This window comes from Homo sapiens, chromosome 3, assembly GCF_000001405.40.
Source record: "Homo sapiens chromosome 3, GRCh38.p14 Primary Assembly".
NCBI classification, from domain to species: domain Eukaryota; kingdom Metazoa; phylum Chordata; class Mammalia; order Primates; family Hominidae; genus Homo; species Homo sapiens.
Genome location: NC_000003.12, coordinates 123,619,013 through 123,632,778, shown reverse-complemented (window position 1 = coordinate 123,632,778; position 13,766 = coordinate 123,619,013). Strand labels below are relative to the sequence as shown.

Below are 13,766 nucleotides of genomic sequence, written 5' to 3'. Positions count from 1 at the left end.
TCTGCCACAAAGAAAAAGTTCCCCAAAAAGGTTTTTAAAAATCCTGTAAAACCCCACCACCCAGCAACAGCATTACTGAAAATTCAAACACCCTCTTTGTCAACATGCTGTGTATGTATTATATTTTTTATTCCAGACACATGCTCTTTAATAGGAAGAATGCTGGGGGAACTTGGGCAGGCAAGGAGCCAGGCAGGGTGAGGAGAGTATTTCAGATGGATAGGCTGCCAGGAAGGAGGAGTGCCAGAGGCCAGAGGCGAGGAGGCTCTCCCTGACTGTGCCCAGAGTTGCAGAGATTAAGACCTATCTTTGCAGGATTATAGTTCCTAATAAGGAAGGGAGGTTTGCAGAAGGGGAACTTTCTGCATTCCACAGCAGGGTTGTTTGCTTTTCCTGCCATCTTTTGGAGTACTGCCGGACTTCCCCCCTCTCTGTTTCCAGTGGAAAATGTAAAGAAGCAGCAGGTGGCTGACAGGCAAGAGACAGGCTGCTTCCTGATGGGGCTTGCATGGGCCACGTGGGGGTCGGGGTCACAGAGACAGAGAGAGCTGGGAGGCCCCTAGGAAATCTAGCCTAGTCCCCTTGATGTATAAAAGGAGAAGCTGGCTAGGCGCGGTGGCTCATGCCTGTAATCCCAGCACTTTGGGAGGCCGAGGCAGGCAGATCACGACACGAGGTCAGGAGATCGAGACCATCCTGACGAACACTGTGAAACCCCGTCTCTACTAAAAATACAAAAAAAATAGCTGGGTGTGGTGGTGGGCACCTGTAGTCCCAGCTACTCGGGAGGCTGAGGCAGGAGAATGGCATGAACCCAGGGGGCAGAGCTTGCAGTGAGCAGAGATCGCACCACTGCACTCCAGCCTGGGCAACAGAGCAACACTCTGTCTCAAAAAAAAAAAAAAGAAAAAGGAGAAACTGAGGCCCAGAGAGGGGAAAGGAGCAGCAGATAACAGTGCAGACTCGGGGACAGGTAAATGCCCACCCTTCCCTCATGGGGACATGACCGAGAATGATTCTCTTTGCCTTCTTAAAACATAAATCAGGGTCTTGCTTTAAAAAAAAATCCCATCCACAAAGATCTATTATTCAGAAACACAAATATGTTGATTAGGATGAGACAATTCACATTGTAAAAGCTTTCTTCTCTTTACAAAAGGTTTCACCAGAGGGTTCCTCCCATGGCAAGCTTTTTCTCCCAATATTTCAAGTGGGGTTTGTTCTGTCAAACTCAACCAAAGCCTTACTCCTGAAGCTGTCAGTGCTTGGCTTATGATGATGGATTCATAAGCATTTGGGAGAAGGGACATTGGTAAAGCCCTAACTTGACAGGTTGATGGCAGGAGGGCCCCAGACCCATCTCTCTTTTTTTTTTTTTTTTTGAGATTGAGTTTCGCTTGTTGCCCAGGTTGGAGTGCAATGGTGCGATATTGGCTCACTGCAACCTCCACCTCCAGGGTTCAAGCAATTCTCCTGCCTCAGCCTCCCGAGTAGCTGGGATTACAGGTGCTTGCCACCATGCCCAGCTAATTTTTGTATTTTTAGTAGAGACAGGACTTCACCGTGTTGGCCAGGCTAGCCTCAAACTCCTGACCTCAGGTGATCCATCCATTTTGGCCTCCCAAAGTGCTGGGATTACAGGCATGAGCCACCACGCCTGGCCCCCAGACCCATCTCATGGGGCTCAGCTGAGATCAGGGCAGGAACAGCTACACAATTTGCAACATGAAAGGTGGGGCCACTTGTTCAAACCTTATTGAGAATCTTGAGACGACAGCAGCAGAGCATTAAACCAAGCACAGGGCCTGTCTAAGGGTGGGACTGTGGGCAACTGTGCTGGTCTAACACCCATGAGGCTGACTCACAAGGCCCTCATGAACAGTGGGGTGAGTTGTTGCTATGAAGGTGAGGTGCACAGAGGTGAGAGGTAAGGTCAGTAAGCCACAAATCTGCTCTATTTTGTTTTGAAATTCTTTACCTTATAAAGTTTATTTGGCTTAAGCTGCTGGTCACAAAGTCATTCCTGCACTCACAGCTTGGTAAGGCAGTGGAGGGAACCCAGCAGAACTGCATGAGATCTCCGGGCATGGACCGCCTCCTTACTGTGGACCAGGCCTGGTGCCAGTGCTGAACACTGCAATTTACTTCATCTTTACAGAAATGTTAGGATAGTATAGCATTTAAGAGGACAGGCTCTAGAGGCAGATACCTGGCTTCCAATCTCACTGGCTGTGAATCTTTGGGCAGGTGACTTGAGCCTGGGCTGTGCCTCAATTCCCTCATCTGTAAAACAAAGTTATAAGAATTACTTGCATCATAGGGCAGTGTTAAGATTAAGTGAGTTCACTTGTTTTAGGCACTTGACCCAGTGCCTGGCACATAGAAAAACCTCAATGAATGTCTGCTGCCATCATGATGATGATGAGGATGAAGAAGTGACCACCCTATAGTTAAATGGCAGCTTCTCCATTTTAGAGGAGAAAACTGACACAGATCAGGGAATTGTCCAAGGCCATACAGCAAGCGGAGAGGCTGCACTCTGTCCTCTGCCATGGCACCTCATAGGGAAGTTTTCTAGTTTGGCATAAATGCCTCAAGTTCCCCGAACCTACATTGCTGATTCAAAGTCCATCTATCCATTGGGCACACACTTCACTTGCTGAGCCTCTCTTATTTGCCGGGCCCTCTTCTTGGAGCTGAAGGTGTGTGGAGAGAGGTGGGAAGGAGGGGACAGAAGGGTGCAGTGGTGATCACTACCATGTGCCCAGTCCACAGAGAGGGGGCAGGAGCACGGGAGGAAGGGGCTTGGAGAAGGCTCTAGCCTGGGCTTTGGGGAATAATAGAAAACCAGGACAGAGGGACTTATCAGCCCTGCCGCGTACCCTGCAGAAGCCCGTAATCTAAAGCCAACCTGCTGCACCTCAGCCTCACAGGTAGGTGGTGTCAAGAGGCAGGTGACCAAGAAAAGACAGGGCTGTGAACCACACCCTCTTTTCTTTCCACAAGTGGAAGAAAGGCAGGTGCAAGGCCCACAGAGCATGAGTTTGGGGGTGGGGAGGCTGGCCGACCCTCGCCTTTGACCTCAGTTACCACTCACCTGGTCGTCGCGCCCTCTCCTAGCCACACCTGCTGTCCTGCTCTTGTCTCTCCAGAGTCAGTGGCCTTTCCCCCTTCATGGGAGACAACGATAACGAAACCTTGGCCAACGTTACCTCAGCCACCTGGGACTTCGACGACGAGGCATTCGATGAGATCTCCGACGATGCCAAGGATTTCATCAGCAATCTGCTGAAGAAAGATATGAAGTAATGAGTTGGGATTTCAGTCTTTGCTTCCCTACTCCCTGCCCTGTGTTGGGAAGCAAAGGGGGATTCCTTTGCCTGTTGGGGTGCCCTCCTTGCCACCCCGCCTTGGGTCGTTCCTAGCATTCCCTGAGGAAGGGAGGGTGGGCATGGTAAGAGACCCGAATGCATGTGGGTTGGGGAGGCGACTTCCTAGGCCCTGCCCCCTGGAGCTAGACATGGGATTCACCTTCAGAGGCTCAGACACCTGACTTGAAAAGCGACACTTGACCACGTTACAGAGCAAGGGGCAGCTGTTCTGTGTGAATAATGACCACCCTTCTTATTTTCTGGGTACAGTTGTGGCCAGCCACAGCCCTCTTCAGGGGCTGCAGGGGAAGGACCCTCTCAACAAGCAAGAGCAGAGGACACGGGCATCTTAGAACTTCTCTGTGGGTCCCGATCATATCCCCAGATTATTATTATTATTCTGGCTTAGTGTTTTTTTATATCTCAGTTATTTAATAACTGCCTGCTTGAATACAGCCAGGTACGTTCTAACATCTGGCCAAAGGGAGGCTATGATCCCAGACCACTGGGCTTAGCCCTCTCCCAGCTCCTCCTCTGTTGAGGTTCCCCACCTGTGCCTGCTGCAGCTGTGAACATAGGAAAGTGAACAGTGGGAGGTCAGCATGCATGGGCTGTGGGGAAAGGTCAGGCACTCAAGCCCTCTGGGTTTCAGTAGAAGATTGGAGCTTGGAGTTGTAGAGGAGACCAGAGTGGGAGGTTGGCTGAAGGTGGGCAGTGGGTGTGCCTAGACAGAATCTCCTGGAAGGAACTGTCCTGGGCTCTGCATGTGTAGGGAGAGCTGCCCAGGGAAAGGGAGCAGTGGGACTCAGGTGAGAACAGCTGGCCTATTGGGCAGCTCACCCACTCTGCAAATAGGTGACTAGATGAGGCAGGGCCTGACTGTAGGGGTGCCGAGGAGCTTGGAGCTATACTTGGCAATCCCAGGGAGCAGTTGTAGCCTTGCCAAGAAGGGTGGTGTTGACATGGGTGGCGTGCTAGAGAGAAGGGGAGGGGCCTGGCTCCAGGGCGGGCAGGAGGCTCTGCACTCCCAGGTGACTTTGCAGCCTTGCGGGGCTGCCGATGGCTCCCCTGAGGAAGAATGGCTGTTCGGGGCAGGAAGGCACAGTTAGTTGCTGAAGGAGCAATATTGGAGTGTCTCAGATGGCTCTGTCAGGCTTTCCTGTGATGCACCCCACTCTCAGTCCTTTTTAGCCAGTTCAGGGCCAAACTCCCCCAGAGGCCACATTCTACACTCCTTGACAATGAGATCTTTTTAGCCTTTTGCTGTCACAGTCTGTATCAGAAATGGGCATGACCCAAGGAGAACTGAGATACTGTGGGAAGTCTAAATTCTCTTCCAATATGAGGGACCCCCACACCCAAGGTGCCTCAGGAGATGGAAACCTCCTCAGTAACTCTGGTACAAGGATGGCTTTTGTCATCCAAGCTTTATTCACTGAAGATTTGGTAAACAAGGTATTGTGTGTGTATATATCTTATTTTCTCATCTGACCTTGAATTAAGTCAGTAACAGGCTGTACTGGATCCCTCTGTGCTCATAAAATGGATTCACCAAAGAACTGATCTTATTCAAATAGATCAAGACACTAAATTCCCATAAACTCTTATACCCAGCCTCTCTTCAACCAGAAATCACCACCTATCAGCACTTAAAAAAAAAATTCCTTCCTACTATAAAAATAATGCATGAAAATTATAGAGGATTTGAAGAATATAATAAAATTTAAATCATCTATAATCCCTTTATCTAAAGTTCACTACATTTTGCTATACTTCTTTCCAGTCATTTTTCTATGTATGTTAGCATTTGGTTCTTTAGGCTTTCCTAGTCCTGTTACAGTTAAGGCAATGGCTCTAAAATGTTTCTAGATCCCCAGAGCTTTCAGAAAGATGAAGTGAGTTTCAGCGCAGTTCTAAAGTAGTCATAATTCATAGGTTATAGGCAGGACCTACTTCTTTGAGTTGTAATGGAAAAACCTGATATTCAACAACACCGTAAGACATTAAACATGAAAGTTCAGTGATTGTCGGAGATTTTATCCTAGGATTTAACTCTCCCCTCCTCCAGACAGGGTGGCAGGAGGATTAGGCTTTGTGGGCCCCAGCCCTCATGAGAGGAGCAGAATGACGCCACCCTGGAATAGGGTGCCAGCCAATCCCAGAAACGTCTGCCCTGCAGCACTTACTCTTCCTCGATCCCAAGAGCAGGCCATGGAGCCCAGTCACTTCCTTGGTGCTTGGGCTTTCATTAACACCAACCCATGCTGGTTCTGGTTAGTGTGACCCAGACCAAGTGAGGAGAAAGGTGAAGAGCACAGTGATCCTGATCACGGTGGATGGTCCGGGAGCAGGGGCCCTGGGCTCTGCCCTCATGACCAGGGACAGGTGGCCTCCCATTTCTGAACTAACCAGTGGTCTCTGAGGTCTCCTCCTGCTCAAAAATCTCCTGATCTCTGCCTCTGTCAGAAACCGCCTGGACTGCACGCAGTGCCTTCAGCATCCATGGCTAATGAAAGATACCAAGAACATGGAGGCCAAGAAACTCTCCAAGGACCGGATGAAGAAGTACATGGCAAGAAGGAAATGGCAGGTAATGAGAGGGTCACTTTGGACTGGGATGTTGCCCCTCATATTTGTGTTGTTCAAGCCACTTTCATTCCCAGCTTGCCCTGGCCTCACACCAAGAAAGTTTAAATTTATTTCTGAAGTAGTCTGGGACCAATTTAGGCAGCTGATTAAGGTACAGTGGTTTGCTTAGTCCTGAGTGCAGAGTCCCTTTCTCAAGGAGATGGGATGGATTCTTAGCTTAGCTGTCTCTCTGTTCCTGCTCACCTTTGCCCCAGGGGACCGTAAACCCTTATTCAGATTAAGCCAATGACATTTTGTGTCTTCATGGCTTGGGATGAGCAACATCACTTTAAGGTCCATTTGTCAACCCTGAGAATGGGGTGGTAGTATGGTGGTTTCACATTTCTTTATGATGAAGGAGGGCACATGATCTAAAGAGAGAGACATGGTCCCACCATCTAGGAAGGTTGTATGTTAATAGCCATGTGTCCTTAGCAAATGATGTAACCTTGCTGTGGATTTTTCTCATCTATAAAGCGGGGATAATAGTGGTACCAACTTCACAGCATTGTTGTGATAATTATGAGAATTACACGAGATCATCCTCATGTGGCCTTTAGTAGTACAATGCCTGGCACATGGTGAGTGTCCAGAAGCGATCCCAGTCGCTAATAGGTATGAAGGTAGGCCATCTGTCAGGGACCATTTAAAGCACTATCTATGCACTAAATCTTTTAACCCTAGGAGGCAGGTACTATTATTATCCCCACTTTACAGACAAAATTGAGGCAGAGAAAAGGTTAGGAAAGCCATCCAGGATCACACAGCTAATAAGCAGAAGGGTCAGGATTCAAACCCAGAGCTTGACTGCAAAACACATAGTCTTAACCCCAAGACTGCCTCTGATAAAAGGCATGGGTGGATAAAATTATTATCCAAAACCACAGGATGTTTTTCAGTTTATCACCATCATCACCTATTTTATCATTTTTATTACCACAATTAGAATTACAATTCTTTTTTTTTTTTTTTTGAGATGGAGTCTCGCTCTGTTGCCCAGGCTGGAGTACAGTGGCACGATCTCGGCTCACTGCAAGCTCCACCTCCCGGGTCACACCATTCTCCTGCCTCAGCCTCCCAAGTAGCTGGGATTACAGGCGCCCACCACCACGCCTGGCTAATTTTTTGTATTTTTAGTGGAGACAGGGTTTCACCGTGTTAGCCAGGATGGTCTCAATCTCCTGACCTCGTGATCCACCCGCCTCGGCCTCCCAAAGTGTTGGAATTACAGGCGTGAGCCACCACTCCCGACCTAGAATTACAATTCTTAGGCTGCTGGAGAAGACATGGTTTCTTTTTTTTTTTTTTCCTCGAGACAAAGTCTCACTCCATTACCCAGGCTGGAGTGCAGTGGCACGATCTCGGCTCACTGCAGCCTCTGCTTCCCAGGTTCAAGCAATTGAGAGGACATGGTTTCCTTACTCAGGGACTACGTAGTGCAATGGGGAACTGAAGCAACTAGACATGAAAGGATGTAACACGCACCAAGATGTATAAACTATCCGGATAGTTCTCCATAGCCATGGGTGTGTATGGATAGAACGGACCTGGTCGCAACCAGAGTTGGATGTGATTATGAGGAAATGCTCCCAGGTGCAGGAGTTTGAATTAGGTGTGGAACCTCAGTCAGAATACAGAGAAGAGGACTGCACAGGTGGAGGAGAAGGCACAGAGGTGGGAGCCGGACCCATTCCGGCTGGGCTTGGCTGGACAGGAGCAGAGTCTTTTAGCTGGATACTCAAGGGACCCAGGGGCATTGAGACTTTGCCTGGGTGGCAAAGAAAAGGGAAATCACTGTGTTGGAGGCAACTGGAACACTGGTCATTTACCACACCAGGTGACTAAATCACAGTTGCCTCAGAAAGTAGAGTGTCACTCAGAGGTTGAAAGAGGGAGCAAAGGCGAATGGGGGCCACAAGTGTGGAGTTTAAGTGACCACCATCCTGAGCACATATCAGCTGTGCTCCTCCACCATGGAAGTCAGTTCCTGGCTACACCCCTCATGGGAAGGTGGGTCTCCAGGCCTCCCTCAAGTGCAAGGTGAGTTGAAACATCTGTAGCTGCTTACCTTTTGGTGCCACTAGGATCTGAGTAGCAAATATTCTTTTTAAAAATGTGGGGGAGGATCTACAAAGTCAAAGTCAGCTGTATTAATAATCCTGTAGCCAGCAGGTCTCAAAGAAATATTTCTGGAAAGGATAGGGAAGCTGATGTCAGGGCGGGGCAGTCCTCAGAGCAGTGAGTCTAAGTGGATATTGCTTGGCTGAGGCTATAGGTTAAGGGGCAGCCTTATCACCTGGGAACATCTGCAGATGAACTAAAGCCAGGAGGATGCCTAAACCCAGGGGCTAGGAGCAGAGAAGAGATGAGGAAACAGGAGAGGAGGCAAAGGGAATTTTTCAGTTAAATCAGTCAGGGAATCATAGTGGTGCTGATTTTTTTTTTTTTTTTTAAAGAGACAGGGTCTCATGCTGTCACCCAGGCTGGAGGGCAATGGTACAATCATAGCTTACTGCAGTCTCAACCTCGTGGGCTCAAGCAATCTTCTCGACTCGGCCTCCTGAGTAGCTGGGACTACAGGCATATGCCACCAGACCGGCTAATATTTTTTTTTCTCCTTTGGTAGAAACAGGGTCTCACTATGTTGCCTAGACTAGTCTTGAACTCCTGGCCTCAAGCGATGCTGCTGCGTTGGCTGCCCGAAGTGTTGAGTGCCCAGCCTATGCTGATATTTTAATCAATTTTTTTTTCTTCTTGTTTACGGCATTATTAGCCATAGGGTTTTCTGGAAGGGCGGGGGAAGAAAAGGGTAGAATTCAGAGAATGAACCTTAATTTTATATTTTAGTATAGATGGCGACATTTGGAAATGATTTTTCCACAAAATTGCACACAAAAGTTGTCCACAAAAATTCCATTCAACAAGTAGTTTCCCTGAAGAGTAGCTTCCCTGGTAACAGCTCTAACCATTTCATGTTACGTTGCTCCCTCAGGAAAACGTTTTCTGCATTTTAACTGCAATCACCAGGGCCTTAGCTCCCCTTGGAATATGAGGGTTCCCTCTTGCAGCAGCCAAGGTTCTGTGCAGTGGGGTGGAGTGGGCTGTGGGCGGGGGCAGAGGGAGAGGGGAAGATCAGGCTCAGGTGGCCCAGAACTCTCTGCAGCTGTGCCAGAGAAGGCACCTTCTTGTTATTCTGGTGTGGTTTTCATAAAAAGCCCTAGAAGGAATGAAGTGACATGGGAACAAATCCCTACAAGCAAAGCTAGGCTGGGTATAGATGACTAATCATATTACTCATCTTGGAATCAAGTTATTCCGAAAGAAGGTATATTTTAAATTTATATTAAAAGAATTTTACAAAGATATGTTGGAAAGGTGTAGCAATGGGGGCAGGTAGGTTGAGCAGATTAACAGGGTTTCCGCATGCACACTGGAAGCAAAAGACTAGACATCAGAGGCCCTTAGGTAGCCATCTTTATTTTCTGGGAACCATAAAGACCCCAGCAGTATGGACCAAGGGCATTAGGGGAGAAAACACTGGACTCAGTATAGCACGGAGTATTCTTGGCCATCCCATTTGGATGGTATGCACTGCTCAGGGGAAACTGTAGTCTTGGGGCTACTGGTATATATGGGGGGCTTTGATGGGTAACCAGCTTGCTGTATGTATGTCAGGGAATGTCTTAGTATTGGTGCCAAAAGACCCTAATCCTGGGAAACTCCACAAGCCTGCCTGGGCAAGCCAGGATGGCTGGCCCCACAAGCTCTCCAAGGGGCAGGGAATTTGTGCTGCATGAAGGAGGCTGGTGCAGATACTGCTCACCAGCGACACAGGAACCCAGCCTGGGCAATTGCCCTCAAGCAAGAAAAAGGGAGAAATTACAAAATCAAAACTTGGCGATCTTGATGTTCCAAAAATTTCCAAAGGTCTTTGGTCAGTAAAGCAACAACCAATTGTCAGCTCAAAGGCATAAAACTGGAAGACTAGAACATACTGATATATTCATTTCTAGTTCTGACAAATAACTTCCTCGGCAATTTTTTTTCACAAATCAATTCCCAAATATTTTTCTATGTTTTAGAAATTATATGCTGGATATCTCCATCTTTTAGAAAAGTTCTCCCTATGTGAGACATATTTATTTGTTAATATATTTACTACTTCCTCTGAAATACTATAACTCTTTTGTTTCCTCATTCTGATAGCTTCATTTTAGTCATTTTGTTATGAAATAAAATCTGGAAGAAAAAAGACATCGTCTCGCCACACCACACAGGTGAAGACAGTCCTCATCAGTCCCAATCCTGATGTCTGGAATTGGGGAGCCCATGGGCTCAAGGCGGGTGTTCCTTGCTACACATTTATGGATATAAACCAGAGTCGTTCTGTAGAGGTCTGGAACTGCAGGAAGATTAGAATCTTCTGCTCCCAGGCTACTGAGGCCCAGAGAGGGGAACTGACTTGCACAAGGTCTCCCAGCAATTAGGGTTAGAGAACTAACCTGTCCCTTGTTGGGAATGAACCCTCTGGGTTTAGAGGCTCCTAGCCCAGGACAAACCAATCTGTGTTGGATAAAGGGAATGGAGAGCAGAGAAGGGCCGAGTCTGAGAATCGGGTTGATTAGGAAGCAGGCTGGTCTGACATTGACTACGTAGGGAGGGCTGCCATGGCTGGTACCACCTCTTACCTGTTCCTGAGGGCAGGGTAACCTCCCATGGGAAGAGCTGGGTCTCTCTCTCTCTACACTTTGTCTAGCACAACAAACAGGTTGAACCAGTAACATCTCCCAGAAGAGCATGAAAGGTTGCCACGTGGCCTGAGCCTGCAGAGGCATTCTCCGCAGGGCCACACGGTGGTTCTGCGCACAGTTAAGTTGTTCAGTTTTCATCTCTCACCATCTTCCCCTCCTCATCACCTCCACCTGGGGCTGCGTGGATTCTGTTCAGCGACCCAGCCTCACTGTGGTGGCAGAGGCCAGAAACATACCCACACCATACAGTGTGATGTGTGTGAGAAGGGATGGCCAGGGGACAGAGCAAGGTGAAATGTCTGTCCAAAGTGCATGAGAGCAGTCTGCAGCAAGGATGGCAGGAGGCATGACAGTAAGGTCATCCCGCTCACTGCAGTAGGTCTCCTCTTTAACCATACACACACGCACACAATTTTCTGTATGTTTCCTTAGCACCCAGAAGTTATTCACTTTCAAAATGATCAGTCTTTTTACTGAAGCTTACTGGCTTTCCAACTAGTCCTAAATTGTGAGGCTTTACTGAAGTACTTGAGCATGTGAAGTGAACTGAGGAGGAAAATGGCTTTGCCGGCAGAGTTTGAGATGCAACGAGTACAAGCCATTTGCCTATGAAGAGGCTGTTTCCTCCCTCTCTCAGGGAGGACAAGTAGCCAGTCTGTGGTGACATCTGTTGTCTAGATGCACAGCTTTTCGATGCCTAAAAAAGATGCTTTGGGTGCAGGGGTGGAAAGACTTGGTTGTGCCTTAGTTTTCTTATCTTAGTCATTCCTGTTAACCTTAGAAAAAAGGTGAAAAACTTACTGAAAGATAAGAAACAATAAGACACAATTGTACATTATTAGGGATCCTATGCTTGGTAGAATTTTCGCAATGTAAATAAATTACATCTCAAGTTCTGATCCTTTTCAGCAGAAATTCTTTCCTCTCCCAAGTCTAGTCACTGAGAAGCAAAGTGCCGTTGCCTTTTATTTCTTCAATGCTTCTTTTTGGTGCCTGAATGCACACCAAGGAAGAGCTCCTCTCCAGAGCTTCACTGCATCATAGACTTGTGCAGGGGCCAGCCAGAGTGTTTCTCAAAATCTTTTAAGTCTCTGAATTATAAACAGAGCTAAATGGGACCTTGGAGATCATCTTGTCCAGCCCCCTCCTAGAGAAGGAGACTGAAGCTCAGAGTGGTTAAGTGACTTGCCCAAGGTCAACAGGATGCTGTGTTATTATTATTATGATTATTTTTGCATCAGGACTTGTGGGATCTGTAGTAACTATTCTCTTGGCCAATTATAATCACATCACTGGCATTGTTTTACGAGAAATAGCCCCGCTAGGCCCAGTCAGCAATAAGTCTTTGGAGCTGTCTCAGCCTGCAGTTGCTTTATATAAACCATCCCTTTTATGGGAGTTGAAGCACTGTATGAAAAGGGTTTTTGTCTCATGTTGACCTTGTTTAGTCACATTAACGCACACATCAGTTCCAGGCCCCATTCCATTCTCTGAACATCTTCTGACACACTGACAGTGCTGAGCAGAGCAAGGTTGGGTTCGCTCCTCTGGCAGAACCTCGGCTCTCAGGAGGTCCTTGTTCCAGGGAACAGCTGCTTCTCTGGGGCTGGGCTCTACTCCCTGCAGCCCCTCGCACTACCCAGCTGGAACCAGGGACAACGCCTGAGTCCAACCCTCGTGTCTATTTTCCAGAAAACGGGCAATGCTGTGAGAGCCATTGGAAGACTGTCCTCTATGGCAATGATCTCAGGGCTCAGTGGCAGGAAATCCTCAACAGGGTCACCAACCAGCCCGCTCAATGCAGAAAAACTAGAATCTGAAGGTAAGGAGGAGTTTCTCCAGCCAGCTGGTGAGAAAGAAAGGGCTGGGGAACAAAGGGGCATTTTGAGGTTTTGGTTGGTTTTGTTCTTTTTTTTTTTATTTTAATATTCCCTGCAAGGATAAATTCAGAAGTAATTTTGGGTTGCCCTGACAATTACTAAGTCTAATAATTATTCTTAATCGTTTAACTTTAAGCTTAACCATTTTCGGAGGGAAAGTTGTTATTTGTCTAATAGAACTAGATGACCTCAGCTATGCTTTTTCATATATTTTGTGTTAAAATTAACAAAGATTGTATTAAAATCTTCTTTTGTTCTTATGGCAAAAGTGATATTCTATATTAATAGGCAAAAATAACATTAAAATTACATGTAGTTGTGTAAGATTTATAAAATATTCTATTTTCTACCATCTTTGTGGTTTTGTTTTAAATAAAAATTAACTCATATGGTCCACATTCTTTGGCATTGTTCATGATGCTGAATCGTGTCATTTGAACTGGGCAGACTGGGACTGGCAGGTCTCCTCCTGGAGACTAATAGGGTCAGTTACTTGCTCACCATCTTAGATGCTGTCCCGTCCATCTCCTCAGTGAAAACCCCAGCCTTTTCCTGCTTCAGGTGCATGCAGGGCCAGACCCTTATCTCATTTGGCCAGAGACACCCTCTGTCCCTCCCTGCCTGGTGCTTTTTGTATCCACAGGTGAGAATCTGAGTTTAGATTCCCTTGGTGAGCAAAGGTAGGGTTATTGGTGAGGCCAGCAACTGCCTGCTCTGGAGCTTCCTCACAGCCAGGGATAGAGACTGCAGCACACAGGCCTGGTCCCTCCTGAGCCACTTCTGCCCCTCCTCAGATGACCCAGACATAGCCTGAAGGGAAGGGAGGAGATACAGGTGTCCCTCCAAGTTACAGCTTTTCCCTGAACCAATCCCACATCCTGGTCCACAGTCACACAGCATGAAGGCAGTGTGAGCATGGAGAAAGAGCCACTGGAAGCTAAAGATGCGGCTAGGACCTGACTCCTCCCTTGTAAAAAGCAGGTGGAACACCTGCTGCAGAAGGAAGGCAGAGGGATACCAAGACTAGGAAGGCTGATGAGGTCCTGCCCTGCTCAGATACCCTCAGCTGAATCCTAAAGCAGCATGAAATGCAGCCAGAAATCCTTTTTAAAGATGATTTCCTCTTTCAACATGTC

General features: G+C 47.5%; 1 protein-coding gene and 1 long non-coding RNA gene across 26 annotated transcripts in view, besides 1 other annotated feature; one reads left to right on the top strand and one right to left on the bottom strand.

Moving 5' to 3' along the window:
• Positions 1 to 13,766, top strand: part of MYLK (myosin light chain kinase) — a 274,284-nt gene that overhangs the window by 251,554 nt on the left and 8,964 nt on the right. For 18 of the 24 annotated variants that reach the window (XM_047448184.1, XM_024453532.2, NM_001321309.2 and 15 more), the window contains 3 exons: positions 3,153 to 3,305; positions 5,838 to 5,961; positions 12,443 to 12,572. In XM_047448184.1, the coding sequence (XP_047304140.1) occupies positions 3,153 to 3,305; positions 5,838 to 5,961; positions 12,443 to 12,572 (407 nt within the window). Of the gene's footprint in view, positions 1 to 3,152; positions 3,306 to 5,837; positions 5,962 to 12,230; positions 12,573 to 13,766 lie in introns of those variants that run through there. The other 6 variants (NM_053028.4, NM_053027.4, NM_001438035.1 and 3 more) reach the window with 3 other exon arrangements.
• Positions 1,958 to 13,766, bottom strand: part of MYLK-AS1 (MYLK antisense RNA 1) — a 45,309-nt gene continuing 33,500 nt past the window's right edge. For both annotated transcript variants that reach the window (NR_038266.2, NR_121654.1), the window contains 2 exons: positions 3,098 to 3,285; positions 1,958 to 2,283 (listed from right to left, as the gene is read on the bottom strand). This is a non-coding gene — a long non-coding RNA (MYLK antisense RNA 1). The remainder of the gene's footprint in view (positions 2,284 to 3,097; positions 3,286 to 13,766) is intronic.
• Positions 2,556 to 3,755: an enhancer, noted in NCBI's record as "MED14-independent group 3 enhancer chr3:123347871-123349070 (GRCh37/hg19 assembly coordinates)". NCBI's record gives its function as "activates an origin of replication core promoter dependent on BRD2, BRD4, P300/CBP and CDK7 cofactors, and independent of MED14, by STARR-seq in HCT116 cells {active_cell/tissue: HCT116}" and the evidence as "EXISTENCE:reporter gene assay evidence [ECO:0000049][PMID:35650434]".